General features: G+C 49.1%; 1 protein-coding gene and 1 long non-coding RNA gene across 2 annotated transcripts in view, besides 5 other annotated features; both read right to left on the bottom strand.

Annotated features, from left to right (window-relative positions):
• Positions 1-705: 705 nt before the first annotated feature.
• Positions 706-19,622, bottom strand: part of LINC02337 (long intergenic non-protein coding RNA 2337) — a 46,071-nt gene continuing 27,154 nt past the window's right edge. Inside the window, exon 2 of the long non-coding RNA NR_135814.1 lies at positions 706-1,040. This is a non-coding gene — a long non-coding RNA (long intergenic non-protein coding RNA 2337). The remainder of the gene's footprint in view (positions 1,041-19,622) is intronic.
• Positions 2,960-3,879: an enhancer, noted in NCBI's record as "H3K4me1 hESC enhancer chr13:112291253-112292172 (GRCh37/hg19 assembly coordinates)". NCBI's record gives its function as "activates a minimal SCP1, AML or CMV promoter by ChIP-STARR-seq in primed H9 embryonic stem cells {active_cell/tissue: H9 hESC(primed)}" and the evidence as "EXISTENCE:reporter gene assay evidence [ECO:0000049][PMID:30033119]".
• On the bottom strand, positions 5,333-19,536 carry LOC107983958 (uncharacterized). Its single transcript, XM_017020886.1, has 4 exons — positions 19,452-19,536; positions 18,495-18,928; positions 7,141-7,481; positions 5,333-6,557 (listed from the first exon to the last, which is right to left on the bottom strand). The coding sequence occupies exons 1-4, from the start codon at positions 19,534-19,536 to the stop codon at positions 6,182-6,184; spliced, it is 1,236 nt and encodes a 411-aa protein (XP_016876375.1). The 3' UTR covers positions 5,333-6,181.
• Positions 5,764-6,264: an enhancer, noted in NCBI's record as "H3K4me1 hESC enhancer chr13:112288868-112289368 (GRCh37/hg19 assembly coordinates)". NCBI's record gives its function as "activates a minimal SCP1, AML or CMV promoter by ChIP-STARR-seq in naive H9 embryonic stem cells {active_cell/tissue: H9 hESC(naive)}" and the evidence as "EXISTENCE:reporter gene assay evidence [ECO:0000049][PMID:30033119]".
• Positions 7,887-8,453: an enhancer, noted in NCBI's record as "OCT4-NANOG hESC enhancer chr13:112286679-112287245 (GRCh37/hg19 assembly coordinates)". NCBI's record gives its function as "activates a minimal SCP1, AML or CMV promoter by ChIP-STARR-seq in naive H9 embryonic stem cells {active_cell/tissue: H9 hESC(naive)}" and the evidence as "EXISTENCE:reporter gene assay evidence [ECO:0000049][PMID:30033119]".
• Positions 9,154-9,653: an enhancer, noted in NCBI's record as "H3K4me1 hESC enhancer chr13:112285479-112285978 (GRCh37/hg19 assembly coordinates)". NCBI's record gives its function as "activates a minimal SCP1, AML or CMV promoter by ChIP-STARR-seq in naive H9 embryonic stem cells {active_cell/tissue: H9 hESC(naive)}" and the evidence as "EXISTENCE:reporter gene assay evidence [ECO:0000049][PMID:30033119]".
• Positions 13,248-14,066: an enhancer, noted in NCBI's record as "H3K4me1 hESC enhancer chr13:112281066-112281884 (GRCh37/hg19 assembly coordinates)". NCBI's record gives its function as "activates a minimal SCP1, AML or CMV promoter by ChIP-STARR-seq in primed H9 embryonic stem cells {active_cell/tissue: H9 hESC(primed)}" and the evidence as "EXISTENCE:reporter gene assay evidence [ECO:0000049][PMID:30033119]".

Genomic DNA, 19,622 nt, shown 5'->3' with positions numbered 1-19,622 from the left:
CAGAAAGGGAAAACACAGGGCTCACGCACGTGTGCACACCTGGATTAGAAAAAGAAATATTACTTGGTCTGTTTAAATATTTTGCTTTGAGTTTAAATGAAACAATTGATTCAAAGGAAGGTAGGAACGGTGTGCCCCTGTGGCCTGGGCCCAGGGCTCTGTGTGCGGGCATCTCCCAGCTGGGCTTTGACAATTACTTGAGAAGTGGCCAAAATAGACATTAATGGTCATTCTTGGATGGGAGCAGGTTGTGAGCGATTTCCCACTCATGCATGGCGGTCCTGCCAGCAGAGATGCTGGGGACATGGTGTTCCAAGGCTGCCCTGGAAGGTCGTCTCCCAGAGCTGCGTCCTTGGCCTCTTTTCCCAGCTCCACCTGAGGAAAGGGCTGGCCCAGAGAAGACGGGAGAAATCTGGGCAACGATCCAGAGCGTTCCCTATGAGCAGAATTTACAGAGTAAAGCCCAAAGCAAAGCATTCACTTCTCCCCTCAGTTGCCATGGCCCCAGGGAGCGGGTCACAGTGCCACATGGCCTAGAGGGAGGGAGCCAGGCTCCTGGGTCAGCCAGCATCAGCCATGAAGTCAGGATGAAAACCAGCCCTGGAAGGCCTGCTGCAAACCACATCCAACCCTGCCTCAGAGCGGGCACCAAGACACGAGATGCTGGACAGCGGTGGGGTTCAGTGGAAGGCTAACCTTGCGCTTGGTTTTTAAAGGTTAATTTATTTATTTTTTAGAGACAAGGTCTTGCTCTGTCACCCAGTCTGGAGTGCAGTGGTACAATCATAGCTAGCTGCAGCGTCCAACTCCTGGGCCTCAAACGATCCTCCTGCCCCAGCCTCCCTAGTGTTTTCTTTTAAAAACAGTTCTTAACCCCCAGAATTGTTCACTGTCTTCCCAAGAAGCTGCCCTGGAGGTGAGCAGCTGGCCAGGCTTTCTGATTGCTTCATCACATCATCTGTTTAATGAGAGTCCAGGTAGATGCAGACAGGGGTCCCAAATCTTCCCCCACACTGATGTTTTTTTCTCAGCCTGAGAAACTGCCAACAGAGAGAAAAGGGTTTTGCATTCTGTGCATGACCAGTCGTGTTTATTAAGAGTTACTAGGAGGGGCTACAGCAATTAGCAGGATACGCGCTGAGGATTCTGTGCGACCCCTCTACTCATGAGAACAGGGCTTTGCCCTTCCCCAAAGCCAGAATTAGGCCCACAAATCTGCCAGCAGCACCTCCAGCAGGCCCCATCTATGCGACATGGTGGTCCTCACAGCCGGGACACTCTTACTTACAGCAGGCACATTGCGGGCAACCTCCCTGACCTTCTTAAGTCCTGGTGGCAATGTCAAAAGGGAGAAGGACAGAGGCATTGAGGAGAGCCTTGGTACCCAAGACAGGAGGGGAGAAACAAATATTGGCAAACACTGTTAAGAGGAGAAAGCACCTGCGACAATTCGTGCTCTGAAAGCCTGAAGTCCACGAGGCGTTCACTCCATTTCTATGTGCAGAAGACATTCCCATTCTGCTCCCATCACTGAAGTGATACACATGACAGGATAAAGTCACTTTTAAGCTGAAAATTTGGTAATGTGATCTCTAAAGTAATTCTGAAGCATCTTAGAGTGAATGAATTTACAATTATAAAAATTACTTTTGTAATGCTGGCTGAGCTTGGAGATATGATCAGATGATCATATTGCTAAAATAAAACATGTTAAATTTAACATTATGGCAATTCTGTCATTTCATTCAAGACACCATAAATTGCCACAGCATTCTGGGTGAGCCATTAGCTCACTCTTTTTACTTATGTTCCTTCTTTCTTCTCTTTTTAATCCCAAAGAAATGGCTGTAATGAGTTGCTAATAAAATGACAAATAGGAACAATCTGATTTCATTCAAAGATTGCACATTCAGACAAGACTGACTCTCATTCTGAGAAGGGCTAAAGAAGGCAGCCCTGAGCAGGTAGTACCCTCATCCGTCCCTCTCGTCCAGCTGGGTCTGGTGGGGGTAGACAGACAAAAGGCAAAGGGCCGTCATGGCTGGTGAACACGCTGGGCTCAAGGCCACGGGGAATGTGGCCGTCATTTTCCAGGCTGGGCTCTGCAGCAAAGCCTCTAGTGCAACCCTGGGAGCCACTTTGATTGATCCATGCGGTTTCCATTCCTGATCACCGTCAAGGTCTCCGGAGGTGCTGAGAACTCCAAGCACCCTTGACTGCACTGAAAGGCACTGCTGCACATCATTTGAAACAAACAAGTGCCCACATACCTCACATTTAAACTGATTTTTACTTTAAAGCTTTGGAAGGACTTTATAATTGTTCTTTTGAGAGACAGCATGGGACGGTGCTGAAGTGCCGTGTGGAAAGCCCAGCTCCGCCTTTCCAAGCTGTAGGATCTGGAAAAAAGTTACTTAAAATCTCTCTGCCTCGTCTATAGGATGGAAATAGCAATAGCACTCATCCCATGGGTGATTATGACCAGGAAGTAAATTAACGTAATAGGGACTTGGAGGGAGCCGAGCGCCTCCCAGGCGCTGCTGCGTGCTCCTCTGCACTGCCATTTGGCAGCCGCGAACTCACGTGACTTGCAGCTGGCGAGGCTGCCTTGGCACTCTCTCTGCACACTCAGGGGTGCTTGATGAGTAAGGAAAGCTGACTTATAAGCCATTTCCAAAGGCGGTGCAATTGCGATGGAAACTCAGTGTAACCTTCGCAAACTTGACCTGATATTGTTTTAAAAACATTTAATTAGAAAGTTTAGGGGCCAGGCACAGTAGTTCATGCCTGAAATCCCAGCACTTTGGGTGGTTGAGTCAGGAGGATCACTTGAGCCCAGGAGTTCGAGACCACCCTGGGCAACATAACAAGACTCCATCTCTATGGAAAAATAAAAAATGAATTAGCCAGTGTGGTGGGCACGTGCTGGTGGTCCCAGCTACTTGGGGGACTGAGGCGGGAGGATCACTTAAGCTTAGGGGTTCAAGGCTGTGAGCGTGAATGCACCACTGCACTCCAGCCTGGGCAACAGAGCAAGACCCTGTCTCAGAAAAAAATAAATTTTAAATTAAAAAAAAGTATGAATTACAGTTTTGTAGTTTTCTCATCCTCAATTCTGAAAAAATCTCACATATCTTTATGGATTGATAAAGAGCCTACGGCCCCCCCAAGTCCTTGGCCTAAGGCTTCTGCACTGATCACCTGCTGAGCCGAGCAATGCTAGCTACAATTCAGGCGTGTGGGAGGTGCAGGTTGGTGGGATGCCACAGGCCTGGGCTCTGAGGGCCGGGACATCACCTGTGACTGTCACCTCTGTCACTAAACATCCCCTCTGCGCATTGCACTCTTTCCATGTCCCTGCTTCCCAAGCCCTCCCTCGAGGCCGGAAGCTAGGTCAGTGGCCCCCCCGCCCAAACTACCACATGCAGGAGGGGTTTCTTCCTCTTGCATCGTGGGCAGGAGGGGCCCTGTAGTTCATGCCACCCCCGTGGCTCAGTCTTTGTTGAACTGTCCAGGCTTTGGAATTCCATTGTTTTGAGCTCAGGGCTTTCCTGGGTGGCTGTGGCTTCTTGATGCTGACTGCATCTCTATCAGGTTTTCTTCTAAACATAATCGATCACTCCACATATATTATCTCTTCTAATCAGATATAAAACTCTTCAAAAAACTAAAAATTGGAGGCCGGGTATGCTGGCTCATGCCTGTAATCCCAGCACTTTGGGAGGCTGAGATGGGTGGATCACCTGAGGTCAGGAGTTCGAGACCAGCCTGGCCAACATAGTGAAACCATGTCTCTACTGAAAATACAAAAATTAGCCAGGCGTGGTGGCGCTTGCCAGTAGTCCCAGCTACTGAGGAGGCTGAGGCAGGAGAATCACTTGAACCTGGGAGGCAGAGGCTGCAGTGAGCCAAGATCATGCCACTGCACCCCAGCCTGGGTGACAGAGTGAGACTCTGTCTCAAATAAATAAATTAAATAAATAAATAAATGTTATTTATATTTATGAAATAGCTTATCAAATATAGTCTACATCTAACACTTAATATATAATTTTTAATATATAACCCATACTTATTAATACTTAATATACAATACTTAACATAAATCATAACATATATATAACATGAAATATAAATCCTTCTATAAAAAGTCCTCTCCTAAAAAAAACCTCTGTCATAATCAATATTGCCTGCCAGTTTAATTATGAGACATTAAATGTCACTTTCCCTCCTGTTGGCCATAAATGCTATTTGCAGTGGTCAAAAAGGTATTTAGTACCATGTGGCTTGGGATGGTCCAGTGATAAGCAATTGCTGGGAAGAAGTGGTGAGCTGAATTAATTGGTGGCTGACATTCTGACACTGATAGACACCCATTACCTTATAATGGACACTAATGCACAAAAAAGCACCAAAGCAAATTGGCCCTTCAGCTCCCACTGGCAGCAGAGTATATTAAATGCAAGTCAATGAGAGTCTAACAGAAATGCCAATGGCTTTGCTATTAGCCCTTTATATCAATGTCCATCCGACAGGTATCCAAACTCACCTTTGGTAGTACACCACAGGCTTGCTTTCCCCATGGTGGCTAATCACCATGTAGCCCCCTACCCACCCAAAACCCACCCTCCTGAGAAGTTGCACGTCAGTATCAATGACTTCCCCTCCCCACCCAAAACCTGCCCTCCTGAGAAGTTGCACATCAGTATCAATGATTTCCCCCTCCCCACCCAAAACCCTCCCTCCTGAGAAGTTGCACATCAGTATCAATGACTTCCCCCTCCCCACCCAAAACCCGCCCTCCTGAGAAGTTGCATGTCAGTATCAATGACTTCCCCCTCCCCACCCAAACCCCCTCCTCCTGAGAAGTTGCATGTCAGTATCAATGACTTCCTATCCAGTGTCGCCATCCTCACCCAAGTAGGGAACAATTTCAAGGTTCCCTAGAGCCAGGAAGCATTTACAGCACGAAGAGATTTCTCAGCTCACCCCTGAAGAGTGATTTCTCATGACTTGGTCCATTCACTGAATGGAACTCTCACGCATTAGCCTCCTTCCCCTGAGATATCTGAGTTCTCAAAGCACAACAGTATCCTTTATTCCTTCCGCGTTTTCAAAGGTGGAAACGTGTGTCTGCGTGTGTGAGTGTGCACCCATCCCTGAACCCAAGACGCATGGTAGACTCCTGTGACCTCTTCCTGTGAACAGACCGAGAAGCTCTGATGCAGAAGCAGGTCAGAATCAACAAGGCCTTCCCTTGCAGAGAACGGCCCAACACGGAAATACAGCAGAACATCACTGAGCATCGTAGCGCTACCACGGGTGTTTTTATGAGATGGTTAAGGTAGGAGGCATATCACATACATGCATCTCTCTGCCTCTCTATCTGTCATCTATCTATCTATCTATCTATCTATCTATTTATCTATCTATCTATTTATCTATCTGTAATTACAAAATATTCAGAAGTTTGCCTTCTTTAATCTTTCAGGAGCCCTACTATTTATGGTCACTTTGCATTCTCAAAGGCAAGGTCATAGACCTGGGAGACAGAACAAAGAAAAGGAAAGCCCAGACTGTTGGCCGTTAGTGGGAGGATGAGCGGGGAAGCTCAGCATGTTTACCACCAGGAATCCCAAGCATCCTCTGGACTGCAGGCAGCAGGAGCTTTCCTTCCTGGGGTGTTGATGCCATGGCATGGCGGTGGCAGCCAGGGGAGACAGCAGAGGTTGCCTCAGTTGTCCTCCAGAACAAGGTCAGTCCTGCATCTGACAATACTGTGTAAGGCGCCATAAATACCGCCGTCCACTAAAGCACAGTGTTGGCAGATGCTGTGTGGGGCAACACTGAGCAAATGGGCCATCACGGGAATCTTCAGCTGTCTGTGCGTGTGTGTGCACGTATGTATGTGTGCACATACGTGTATGTGTGCATGTGTGTGAGGGTGCACGTGTGTGTGCACAATGCAAAGAGAGATGAAGAGAGAAAGAAGCAGGGATGGGGCGGATGAGGGGAGGGGCATTGAGATGAGGACTCCATTGTGGAAAAGTTAAGGGAACTGTTGACGTCGATGCCATTCATTGGGATCAATAAAATAAAGACAGAAAGTGGGGGCAAGGCATTCGGCTTTGTAGTAGCATACCAGTTACCGCCGTTTACCAGAGCTGCTTACCGTTGATGGCTAATGACCATGTGCAGAATGACTGTTGTGCATGTCACTAATATGTGGTGGATTAAGTTTTCTTTGATTACAGCACACACTCGGATCCTGGATGCCTGGTCCTTGGTTGTCATGTAGCTGGTGTCGCCATCCACTCAGCTCCAAGGCATTAAATAAGGTTTTTGCAAGGCTCAGGGCTGGGAGTGGAGTCGCATCAATGACATGGCCTCCAACGCAGGAATCGCAAGACAAGTGACATGCAGGACTCAGAAAGAAGCTGCTCCTCAGGGACCTGTCTATGCAGGACTCAGGAAGAAGCTGCTCCTTTGGGACCTGGCTGTGCTGGGAAGAAGCCGCTCCTCTGGGACCTGGCTGTGCTGGACTCTCAATGGGGTGTCTGAGTTTAAATCGATGTTTAGAGAATGAAGCAGGTTAGGGAAGATGGACATGCTGTGACACTCTGCTGCCCAAACAGACTCTGGCAGACAAGAGTGTGGGCCCCACGCCTGCCACTGCTCATTCACTCAGTGGGGTAAAAAATTTAACCTCTGTGCATCTCACTTCCCCCATTTTTAAAAATATGAATATTATTTGCCTGGGAGGGTTTTTCTGAGGATTTTATAAGATACTGACTTAGAGAAACTGACACAGTTTCCGGAATCTCCCAGGTGCCTATTAAAAATATGTATAATATCTTTACTTATCATATACTTTATATCACAGTATATTTTATATGTTACATATCACATGTATTCAAAATTCTTCTCAAAACAGAGAAAGAAAATATGCTATGCTAGGACATTTTGAAGGGATTAGGGTGCTGATCAGGCAGAGTGGCTTATTTATGTGAATGGTTTCTTATGGAGAAGGTTTATTTGTCTACACAAATCTCAAATTAGAGGGGTCCCCATTCGGCCATGACCTCTCTTACAGTCGTCCTGAGCAAGGGGTGTCACCTCTTCAGGACACCAGTTACTCACAAAATGAAGGCATTGCATGTATTGTTCCTAAAGTTCTGGCCAGCCCTGCAATTCCAGAATGGCTGAAACGGGATCTTGGTTAACCAGGAGGAAGACCGTGTTGGCTGTGATGACGCTCTGCATGAACGCACAGCCATGGCTGCTTGCAGGGTCTCTAGCCTTGTGCTGCCTGGGATCCTGGGTTCGCATGCGGTCTCCACCTTCTGGGTGCAGCTGCTGTCGCTCAGCTCTTTTCCTAAGTGAGCTTGGGCGGCTCCTGCGATTGGTTCTCTTGCACCAAATCTGCTCGTACCAGTTGCTTCTTCATTTGTTTTTTGTTTTTGTTTTTTCTTTTTAATTCGCTAAGGAATGGAAAAGAGAAGGACAAATCTGTAGGTTCTTTCAGTAGCTGAAAGGCGTCGCGGTGAATGTCTCATGGCTGAATTTCTCATAGCGGGGCATCTTTGACTAAATTCATCATCCTTCCGAGGATTTTAGGGCAGATTTGAACTTGAGTGTTTTACTTTTAACTCATCCAGGGGTAGATAGGAAATTGTGCTGGATTAAACAGAGGTTAGAAAACCAAATGAAATGAGTTAAACAGCTAGAGATGCGGGAGGTTTGTCCTGGACGGGCCATTTGTCTGAAAGCAGCTCTGACCGATCCCCAAGTCAGTGCCGCACACCTCCCACACTGAGAGACGTCGCCTCGTAGAAACTTTTCACTCCTGTGTCTTACCTCCCTTTTCAGTGACCACCCTTGACTTGCATAAAATAACACACATGTTTTATGTGTGCCTAACAATTACACAGTTCACCTCAGCCTGTTTGTTCTATCTGTAGCCTGGGTTTCAAAGCACATAAAGATCACAAATTGTTTTGTTTCAAGTACTTTATACGGTGCCCACAGAGGAACCACAGGCAATAAACGCTTTCAATAATAATGGAATTATCTTAGTGCTCAAGGTATTACCCCAGTTCTTCAGGCCCCTGAGTGCGTGTGACTTCTGCAGGCCCCCTGTAGTCAATCCATTCACGATACCATCGTACCCCGCATGGCCCAAAGTCATCTCTCTTTGTTATGCATATTATGGATCCTCAAAACTATACAGAGAGTTTAAATATTAATTTGCCTTTCTGTATATTCTAATTTCAGAACACCAAGGAAAAACTCGGCGATTGGTGATTGCTATCACATTATTTAAATATAGCATGTATTTACTTGATAATACACAGTCATTTTTCTGTTGTATATGAAATAAATACACTCCCAATCCATAATGCACTATGATATTTATCTGAGTGATATAAACATTCCTTTGAACAATAATGCTTTGTGTAACCTCCCATGACAGTTTGTCTATTAAAAAGGAAATTAAATATACAAAGGTATGGGAAAAATCACTATAAGGCAATAATGAACTAGTAAATTCAAGAAGAAAAATGAAATAAGACTGATTTGAAGCCTAAACTTCCGTTGCTGTTTCTCATGATTCATCACTTATCACCAGAAATTCGGCTGGAGGGCCCTCGCACCCATGAACGCACAGATCCCGGTGATTATGTGCCGGACGCTGGGCCGGAAGAAGCCACAGTAACTGCGGCTGGACTCACTGATCAGTGAAGAGCTGAGGTCTGTACTTCTGTGGGATGCATCTGCTCTAATTTCTCCAAGTTCCCGATTATTTACTTAGAAATGCTCCCAAATTAATTTTCAATTCACAACCCAGTTCCTGATTTGATATCATTCAGCCAAGGGTCTGATGATTGTATTTTCTCAAACAGTAAAAATCCTCTGGATTCCAGAGTATCACCCAATCTCCACCAGCCTTTTTCTTATTTAAACTGCACAAATCTGTGTAAAAGGGAAGTATTTGGTGTGGATATTCAAATGTATGCTTAGTGATATACGCTTACTTTAAAACTAGCCAAGTGCAGATACTCAAACATTGGAAAACTTTTTAAGTATTTTTGGAGGACAATTGGGGAATGCCACCTTTACGTGTCAATGATAACTATGAGTATGAGCAACAGTTATACACGATACCTGTTGTTTTTCTTTTACTGCCCAATTATTTCTGGCAGCAAATCTGCCTAAAATTGTCACTTAATTGAAATCAAGCATGTATGGCCACAATGACTTATGATTTCTTTTAAAAGGAAAAAACATTTTAAGTTGGGGTGGAAATCTTATCTCCTCAAACAAAGTATAATTTGGCTTTCTACGAGCAATAACAAAAAGCTAGACCCAACTACAAAAAGTCATACCCTCCACAGAACTAGAATTGCCCCTCCCCGCAGTAAGCCAAGCTCTGTTCCTGAGGCTCGGCAGCTGTGGGTGCACTGGGCTCCTACTTGGGTCAGCGATGTGTTTAGCTGAAGGCATGAAAAGACAGTACAGTGCATATTGTGTTGCAGCTATAAAGTAAAAGTCATCCTTGTAAAAGCCTTCCTGGTAACGCCTTTAAAATCAGCAGTCAGAAAACCATTAGAGTGATTACCAGTGCCCAGGAGGCCTGGAGCCACTCTGGGAGCAGCCGGGGCTGCTCCTGAGGTGGGGCTGAGCCGCCCTCCAGGGCCAGAGCAGCCGAGACAGGAGGGCAGGTTTGCTCAGCTTCGCTAGGTGCTTGCTGCGAGTGAGGAATCCTGTTTTCTGCATAGAGGGAGGAGGTGCTCTTTCCTCAGTGCCCTTCAGATCCGGTTCCTCCCTACAGCCCAGGAGGGAGTGGCTTCCCTCTGACTTGGAGTTAGGAACTCGAAGCCCAGGGCATCAAAGCTCTGCAGAAAGCTCTGGAAGTTGAGAACTTGGAAGTCTGGCCTTTTGGCCCCCAAAGCCTGTATCCTCTCTATTCCCCCTTCAGCCTCTCATGTTATTATTACCATTAACACTGGAAACCAAAAATGAAATATGAAGGCCCCCCAACCATCAGAATGGACTTCCTCCTCAACAAGGGCTCTTTAAAAATTTAACCCGAGAGACTGGTTCAGGCCATGACGGGCAGTGAGGGTTAGACATGCCTCACTCTACCTCTCTGCCATTAACATCAACGCAGACTTTCGGTCTGATAAGAAACATTATACAACCGATTCCCTCTGAAGTCTGCTACCTGAAGGCCTCCTTTGCAAATAAGAACTTGGGTCTCCACCGTCCTTTATCTTCACCCAGACATTCCTTTCTCTTGATGCCAGGTCTTTAAATAAACCCAGTCAATTGTCAATGAGAAAACGTTGAAATTTACCTATAAGCTGGAAGCCCCCGCTTGGAGTTATCCCGCCTTTCTGGACGAAATCAATGTATTTGATTTTTCGTAAATGTGTTTGGTTGAAGTCTTATGTCTCCCTAAAATACATAAAACCAAGCCGCACCCCAACCACCTGGGACATATGTTCTCAGGATCCCCTGAGGGCTGGGTCATGGCCATGGTCATACATATTTGGCTCAGAATAAATCTCCTTAAACATTTCAGAGTTTGGCTCTTTTCATCAATAACAACCACTATTGATAAACTTACCCAGGATCTGACTCTTGTGGTACACATTTTACATTCTAGAAGCAGTGTTTTCAATAAAGCCAGGAAAATGAGAATTTTACTCCAAATAAAGTAAAGAGTTCTGCGTATTTGCTTGTTTGCTTATTGTTGTTTTTTTCTATAGCGATAGACACTGGATAACAGAAATTAAATTCACAACTCTTGATCATACTGTATAAAAGGACTAAAGAAAAAAGAAATTACACCACATGTGAAAGTTGACCCCATATGACAATAGAGAGGGGAAACATTTGAAGTTTGCCTCCTGATAAGTTCTTGTCCTTCCTGCCTTTTTTCCCTTTACCTCCTCTTTTGAAGCCTGAGACTTCATTGGGCCTGCAGGGGCCCCATGCTTATGCTGTCCCAGGCTAGACAGCCCATGCCCCAGGTCTCTGCAGCTGTCCCAGGCTAGACCAGCCCATGCCCCGGGTCTCTGCAGCTGTTCCAGGCTAGACCAGCCCATGCCCCGGGTCTCTGCAGCTGTTCCAGGCTAGACCAGCCCATGCCCCGGGTCTCTGCAGCTGTCCCAGGCTAGACCAGCCCATGCCCCGGGTCTCTGCAGCTGTCCCAGGCTAGACCAGCCCATGCCCGAGGTCTCTGCAGCTGTCCCAGGCTAGACCAGCCCATGCCCGAGGTCTCTGCAGCTGTCCCAGGCTAGACCAGCCCATGTCCCAGGTCTCTGCAGCTGTCCCAGGCTAGACCAGCCCATGCCCCAGGTCTCTGCAGCTGTCCCAGGCTAGACCAGCCCATGCCCCAGGTCTCTGCAGCTGTCCCAGGCTAGACCAGCCCATGTCCCAGGTCTCTGCAGCTGTCCCAGGCTAGACCAGCCCACACCTGAGGTCTCTGCATCCTCCTGTCCCTTGGGGTGTGGGCCTGCCCCGGGCTCTTGCCTCACAGCCTGCGACTGACTTCCCAGTTTGGCAAATAAATATCTGCCAAGGCATTAATGGGCAAAAAATGGCTTCATTTTTTCTAGACTCATTCCTGAATGTCTAGAATTAAAGAAAAAGGGAATGTCACTGAAGGTGGCTGGAGACCAGCTCTCATGCTTGACTCAGTGCTTGCCAACTCACTTCCAGGTGACACTGGCCAGGCTAACCCAATTTCCACAGCTGGTGATGGTTTTAAAATGGGACCATGCAAATATATGCTTGCATTCCTCCCTCCAACCTCCCAAGTGTAAGTGTTTAACCTTGTAATCTAACCCATGGGCCCAAATAGGACCTTCATCAGAAGCAGAGTGTCACAAAAAACCTGGGCTTCCGTTTCTTTATTTAGATGGATGAGAAAGCTCTAGTTTCATGTCCTTAACTCCTAGGATTTTCATCTTGGTGGGAAAATCAACTAGGATTCCAAGTTCATAATTTGTTCCTGTAGGGGAGCCCTGGGAAGCAGAGAAACTGGCAAGGCAGGGGTGATGGCACACGATACCCTTACGAGGTAGGTGCTGGAGCATGTCCTGATCCCGTGCTTCAGAGGGCAAGGAGAGCCAGGCGGCCCACAGGCCCACGCGCTCAGCGCCACCTCCGTGATGTTTGGGTAAATGCAGGAAGGTCACCGAAGGCTGCTGCCCTCGTTAACCAAGCAAGAGCATTTGACAGAGCTGTGGAGGTGCTCTGATTCAGAGCCGTGATGAAGAAGGCAGACATAAGTGAAGTTTTAAAATAAAACATTACATTGCCAGTGTTTCCAGCCTGTCAGAAGGGAAGTTGCTTCCCCATAACTGCAAGTCAACACGGAGCGGCACAACATAAGTGTCTCTGCACTTTCCCCATTTCACGCGAGGTCAGCCTGATGGCTGAGTGTGCTTAAGTCAACACCGCAGGCCGTTTCATAGGACAGGTGCTCTGAACGTATAGGCAAGGCCATCCCTATTATTTCAATTAACAACATAAGCTACAAAAACACAGGCGGGTGAATTAATTTAGAGCTTCCATTTAGTGCTGCTTGTGAGGACATCGTTGGGCCCTTGGTTGTCGTGGCAACTTAAGCAACTCCAGCCGGCAGAAGCAGGCGGCTGCTGCTCGCGTCCCCCGCACACACACGGTTCAGATAGTACATTAGCAAAGAATACGATGTCCATGTAAATGTTGAGATATTTTCGTTGCCATAGAGATAAGAAGAATGGCAAAAATACAGGAGTGCTTGACATACTCCAAGGCAGACTTTTAATTAAAAAAAAATCTCCCCTGACAATGCCAAGATGGCTGAAGGCACCAGGAGCTTCTGGGCTCATGGAGGACTGGCAAGGCCCCCACCCAAATGCCATGGACAGGGCCCGAGAATTCTGCTGAGTGGCCCAGGAGGAAGTACAGGGGCACCGGGAGGTGTGGGGCCACAATGATCTTCTTTCCACGGAGCACAGAAAAAGAAAGGAGCAGAGACAGTGGAGCCCACGTGCCAAGGAGGCCTCGGCATGGACAGGTCTCATCTGTCCCAGCCCAGAGCTCGGAGCCTGCACGAGGACGACCTTGCACGTGCCCCCAGTCAATGTGCTTCCTCCTCGGCCTCCCTGTCCTTGGAGCAGGCTGCATGGCTTCGTTGTGGGGGTAGCGTGTGGGTCGATGTGAAGCGTGTGCTCCATCAAAGCAGGGGGCAGTGGGCAAGGAAGGAGCGTTTGCACGTCTTGTTGTCAAAGTTGGGGTTGGCTCTTCTCAAAACTTGCCATTCCAAAGCATTATGGGAGGGAGGGACTTTACTTTTCTCTAAAATTAAGATTTCACTTTTTTAAAAAATGGTAGAAATTTCCATGAGCTTCCACCAAAGGAACCTGCTATAAGTATTTCCCACAGAGGCTACAGCCAAGGCCCAAGGACTGACAGTGGCCACGTCCAGGAAGGTCCCTGAACAGGCTGTGCATAAGGAGAGGCCAGAGTGGTGAGGGTACCTGGCAGAGGCTGGCCTGCGGGCTCAGCAGCGGCACCAGCGACCTCCCCTGCCTCCTGGGCACCCTCCAGCCTTGACTGCCAGCTGTTTGTCCTCATCTGAGCGATCGCTGAGAGTCAGAGTTCCCCACGCCGTCCTATCCCACCCTGCCCACTTTCCTGTGTGCCCTTAGCCGTTTTCTCATCGGCAGCTCCCATCTCCTGCAATTCCCGCACATCTCTCCCAGCCCTGAACCCACTCTGTGCTCTCCGCTGATGGCTAACTGGCTTCTCCACCCTGACGACCCATCCCAAACCTCACGTGTCAGAGGGCAGTTCATTATCTTCCCTTCCTCTCTTTCATCTCCCTAAATGCAGCAATCTGAGACTGGAACCTCAGGTTTTCCAAGCTCCTCCATCTTCCACACCATGGGCTCCGGACTCACTGAGTCCCCAAAAACCAGGGCCCAGTGACCAAAGGGATGCCTCTCCCCAAGTCAGGGTGGACACTTTTCAAAGCCACATCAGTCAGACACCCGTTTCCATGGCTTTGAGCTTTGAGCGGGGCATGCAAGATGGAAACACCAGCAGTGAGGAAGGGGTGGGAGCCTCTCCATTCCCCAGCAGCACACGGAGTGTTCACCTTTCCTTCTGAGTCGCTGCAGAGCTGCCCTGACTGCTGCCTTTTTCAGAACCCGCTTCTTGATTCTCCCATTTAATTCAGTCCAAATAAAAATCCTTTTCTGCTTAAATAGCTGGATTCGTCTTCTGTTATCCGCAATATCAGAACCCTAACTGCTGAAATGAGCCGGACTTGGTTTCTGTTATTTGTGATGTTAGAACCCTACCCAATACAGACCACTGATGGTAGAAATGTTTCAGGAGAAATTTGATGGGATGGAAAAAAGGATGAGACAGAATCTTCCTAAACTATGTCAGACAATCATTCTAAGCTTGAGCTCGCCAGTATCCTTCAAGGTGGAGTTTCCCTGCAGAAGACATTTGTGGATGACCCCTCTGGACTGGAAGGTTGGATTGAGACTTACTCACTGGGTACCCCACATTCACAGAGTGAGGTCAATCACAAACAACTCTGGCCGCTGCAGACACACCTGGGCCCCTCTGCTTCTCGTCCTGTCCTAAGAGCACACTCTGTTCCAAGCTACCTGCTGAGAGAGTGACTTCCAGGGAAGGAATTCCTTGTGGTCAGTGTCCACTCACAGCTTCCAATCTATTCCTTTTGAAAACAGGAATTTCTCATGCGAAACCCAACCTCTTTCCCAAAGTATGCAGCTGTGTGGAGGGGAGCCACTCCTAAAGTGTGTCGGGGGAGCTACTGATCACAGGGGAGAAGCCCAGGGGTCCGGGGTCTTCATGCCGTCACAGGGGCTGGCCATGCAGGTATGGCCCTGCCTCAGTCCTGCCGTCACAGGGGCTGGCCACCCATGCATATCCCTCTATTGCCCGCCATTGCAGTGTCTGTTGGGACCTTTCTATGAGCAGCCGTGCCAGTGCCCAGCACTGCAAAGACATAAGATCCAGTCATAAACCTCAGCGATCATACAGGCGGGGGGGTGGTGACCCGAGAGACACTGTCAACCGTCCTGGGACAGGAGCACAGCGACAGCATCCTGCCACGGGAACGGGAGAAGATAAGCTGCTTGCAGCTCAAGTGGCAGAGAAGGCTGGAAGCATCTCAAAGTGTAGGTTTCAAAAGATGAAGAGAACATTCCTGGGATAGGGCTGGGGCGGGAGGCAAGGGGGTGTAAGGGGTCCTGTGATCCAAGCTGTGAACCGGGGCGCGCCAATGCCCCACTCGGCAAAGCAGACCAATTTGGAGCAAAAGTTTTTGGGAGAAGTCAGAGACAGGGCTGTTGCCGTGTGCTGCAGGCAGATGGTGAAGGATGAAGGCTGGACCACTGTTAGCACCTCTCCAGTTTTCATGACACTTTTTCTCTGGTGACCAAAGAGAAGCATGTCGGAAGGTGGTTGTCGGCATCAAGCAAGGCGTCATAGCAAAGACCCACCCCCAGGCCTGGTGCCCACAGAGACTTGACATTCCCAACAACTGCCAGTTCCCTGGGTGGCATCTCTCCACTCCACCCCATGTCCCCTGCTTTTATGCTCCTGGCCTCTCTCCTGAAGGGGCCACACAGCCATCTCCTACAGATCTTGGCATTCAGGGACAACTTGAGTGTGAGCTGCTCATCTTTGAAAATCTAAGCCTCATGGTGTTGCTCACACATGTCCCTCCTCTGACAAGATAAAGTACGCAGCCCTGCAAAGCCACCCAGGAATGCCAAATCCAGAGCTGAGGACAGTCCTGAAGCCAACTGCAGCTGCCAACCCTGCTCTCACTGTCCCAGGGTTTCTGAGATGATGGCTGAGAATAACGGGGAGGGAGCCTGGCCCTGCACGTCCGGGAGGGGTGGCTGCCCGCCAGAAAGCTGCGAGGTCAGGGGTGGGAGTCCCCTCTTCCCCTCCTGCCTTTGCGGTGGCTCCATTCCTCCCCACGCTGTTCCAGGCATAATTGGATGATGACAGGAGTGCCAGGCTCAAGTGTGTGGTCAATGTGGGTGAGGAGTGCTGGAGCTATCTGCTTGAGAGAAGAGGAGAGCGAGGTGCCCTCACCTCCCCATGAGGTTTGGGCTCTGCCAAGTCCTTTGGCCGGGAAAGAGAACTCAGTGTCCCGGTGGGAATAATTGCACGGCTGAGCTTATGCCAAGTCAAATCTGAGCCTTTCACAAGCCTGAGCTGCCATGCACTGTGTCCAGCAAAGCCCGGTGGGGTCGCAAGGCTCTCCTGGAAGCACTCCCTCCTGCCAGGGCCCAGGTGGGAGGGAATCTGAGCAGCCTCCCAAAGCGGGGGCAGACATGAGTCACCCAGGAGATGGGGTCCTGGAGGCTCCCCGAGTTAGATCAAGCTCGCTCGTCTTCACTTTTGGAAGGGGCTGCGTAGACAAGAAAGCTTGAACTGGAGCTAGGGAAGGGCTAAGAAGGGAGTGCATGCTGCCAGTGTGGGAGCTGTGGATGCAGTGATGCTTCCAAAGGGCCAAATTCTACCCTAACGAAGACAACCAGCACTGCACAGAAGTTCAGGCAAGTGGTCCACTCCCCAACACGCTAGCGATCACAAGGAAAGAAGACACAGGCTCAAACTCACCCCGTCCTCTTCCTTCCCCAGAATCCACCAGAGGCTCTAGGCACGGGAGGCGTTTCAAATTTCTTCCCCGCCACCACTTCCTGCTGGATACCTCTTGGGCCATGGCCCACCTCATACTGCTATTCTGAGAATTAAATAGTGTGTGTAACATAATTAGAGCTTAGTAATAGCTAAATAAATATTAATAAGAAAAACGAGACCATGTATTAGAGTTCTCCCAAGAAACACAACCAATAGACCTGTATCTGCTCTCTATAGAGCTACATCTTTGTTTGTCTACCTCAAGGTTTATGTTAAGGAATTGGCTCACCGTGACTATGAGTGCTGGCAAGTCCACAGTCTGCAGGGCAGGGGGCAGGCTGGGGACCCAGGGAAGAGCCGATGCTGCAGCTCAGCGTCTGTCTGCAGGCCGAGCTCCTTCTCGGGGAGTTCTCAGTCTTTTGCTCTTAAGGCCTTTAACAGATTGGATGAGACCCCCCACATTCCAGAAAGCCATCTGCTTTACCCAAAGTCCACTGATTTGAGGTTAATCTCCTCTAAAAACACCTTCACAGCAACATCCAAACTGATATCTGATCCAATATCTGGACACTGGGGCTTGGCCAAGTTGACACACAGAATTAACAACACAGATCAGCCCAGGTGTCTCCTCCTTTCTGACCACCACCTCTCCTGTCTCTAGAGTGCTTTGCCCTAGACCTCGGGATCCCAGGTTTGGAGCCACGTGGACTCATGGAACACCTTCCATGTGGACCTGCTCTGTATTCATCTCAGAGAGGACTTGGACCACCAAAGCATGTTCTGAACATTTGGGGGTCTGAGAAGCTCCTTGAGGAATCAGGTACTAGCTTTGGATTTTTGCCCCAGAAAATTTACATATGCATAAAATTGCATGACATTTCAGGGTTCCCACGGCCTGACCTCCTAAGTTTGTCTACATGTTGAATTTCAGAATCCTACATCTAAAAGTACTGCAATTGCCTCAGCTTCAGCGGAAACTGTTCAGAAGGGAATGGGCTTTGTTAGGATCTGGAGATGTTTCCACCCCCAGAAATGACGAGGGACAGGGAAGGAGTGCTGTTTGCGGGGCTGTGGAGATCGAGAGGCACCATTGGAGGCATAGACCATGTTCTGTCTCAGCTCGACCCGCCAGAGCCTCGCCAGGTAGGCCCCACCAGGTAGGCCACCACTAGAAAGGAGGCCACTGGCCCAGGTAAGAACAACCAGATGCCACAGATGCCGCCCAGCTGGGACCTGTGCGCCTCAGGGCCCACGTCCTCCCTGCCCCTTCCTGCATCCAGGTTGAGGGCTGAGACGGTGGCCCTGGTTCTATGGGGCAACCTTGTTCCCACACTCAGAAAGTATCCCCTGCCTGTGGGTCTGTGAGCAGGCAGTAAATACTGTTAGGAAAACAACAGAATATTCCATGAAAACTGCTTTGATTTATTATTAACACAAGTGTTTCAATGGTGAACTCCACTTCAGAGAGTGTCTGTCTCACCCCTTCTTACTCACTTCACGTCTCAGTGTTCTGTCTTTGCAATGACAATTATTCATCGCGGTTGGTTTTCCTGAACTCTTCACTATTGAAACCAGACTTTTGCAAGCCATCTCTCAGCTCTTGGGAGTCAAATTTTAGAGCCCCCAGAGTGAACTTCTGGGCCAACGGCATTTCTCTCACGGACGCGTGTGTGCCGTAAGCCTCACGGGACCAGAGCACCACTAAGAGAGGAGGCTGCAGACCAACGCTGGTCTGAAGCCTTCAAAGCAATGAGGGACCCGGTGGGGAGAGCAGGGGCGCAGAGCAGACGGGAACTTACCGAGGAGGGGCTTTGCAGGGAAATAGGAGGGGTCTGCAGAGAGGATGGTGCAGACGATGCTCTCAGGGAGGCCAAGCTAGGATGAACTAAGGCGTTTCCAAAGCAGCACAAACACAGAGACTTCTTAGTATAACAGAGTCCACCTGACTTCAACCAGGAAAGGGATTGCAACAGTGTTTGGGGATAACAGCGCACTCGGATCCGGACCCCGTGGACTGGATTTGAGGATAACAGCGCACTCGGATCTGGACCCTGTGGACTGGATTTGAGGATAACAGTGCACTTGGATCCGGACCCCGTGGACTGGTGTCCCTGAGAACGTTTACTAAAATTCCTCACAGGGGAAAGCTGGAGTGGCCTCCTGTCCTTGCACACGGAGAGAAATGGTGGTAGGGAGAAGCAGCAGTGCAGGGCACGGATTGGATCAGGACATACTCAGTGGACACCTGCTATGGGTCAAGTCAAGGATCACCCCCGCCTCCATCGGACTACACAACCCGTGACAGCCTCGCTCCCATTCATATTTCCTGGGCTTCTTAGGAGAAGCTCGTGAAGGGGGTGGACGTTATCACCCCTCTACTAAAAACAGGGAAACTGGGAATGAGAAAGATGATCCCGGGCCACATGGCTGTAAAGTGTCAGAGCCAGAACAGACCCTGGCTCTGCCTAGGGTGGGCCGGTGCTCCTGCTGCTGCTGCTCAGAGGCAAGCCTTGGGGTCGTGCTGATATAAAATATCTCCCTGCTGCCCTTGGAGCTGGCCACAGGGCAGAGCCAGTATAGGGTGCGAGAGTCACAGGCTCTCAGGGTTGCTGACTCATTCCTCCAACAAATGTAACAGGAGTCGTTTCAAATACCGCAGGGGAATGCGCTAGCGTGGCGCCTTCTAACGTGCGCTCAACAGTCAGAGCTGTTCAGGGCAACGTTCCCTGCTGGAAAGCGTTGCTGGGCGGTTGTACCTTGACTCAGCTGTGCCGGTGGCTGGGGGCAGCAGAGGTGGCACTGCGGAGGCGAGGCGGCTTCTGCGGGCAGGAACAAACTCATCGTAACTTAGGGAACACGGAGTCTCTGCAACCGTTTTCTGAGCATTGTTTTAAATCAATGGCTTAATTAGACCCCAGTGGCGTTTT

This window comes from Homo sapiens, chromosome 13, assembly GCF_000001405.40.
Source record: "Homo sapiens chromosome 13, GRCh38.p14 Primary Assembly".
Taxonomy (NCBI): domain Eukaryota; kingdom Metazoa; phylum Chordata; class Mammalia; order Primates; family Hominidae; genus Homo; species Homo sapiens.
Note: the sequence above shows the minus strand (reverse complement) of the source record. Positions and strands in the feature narration are given on the sequence as shown.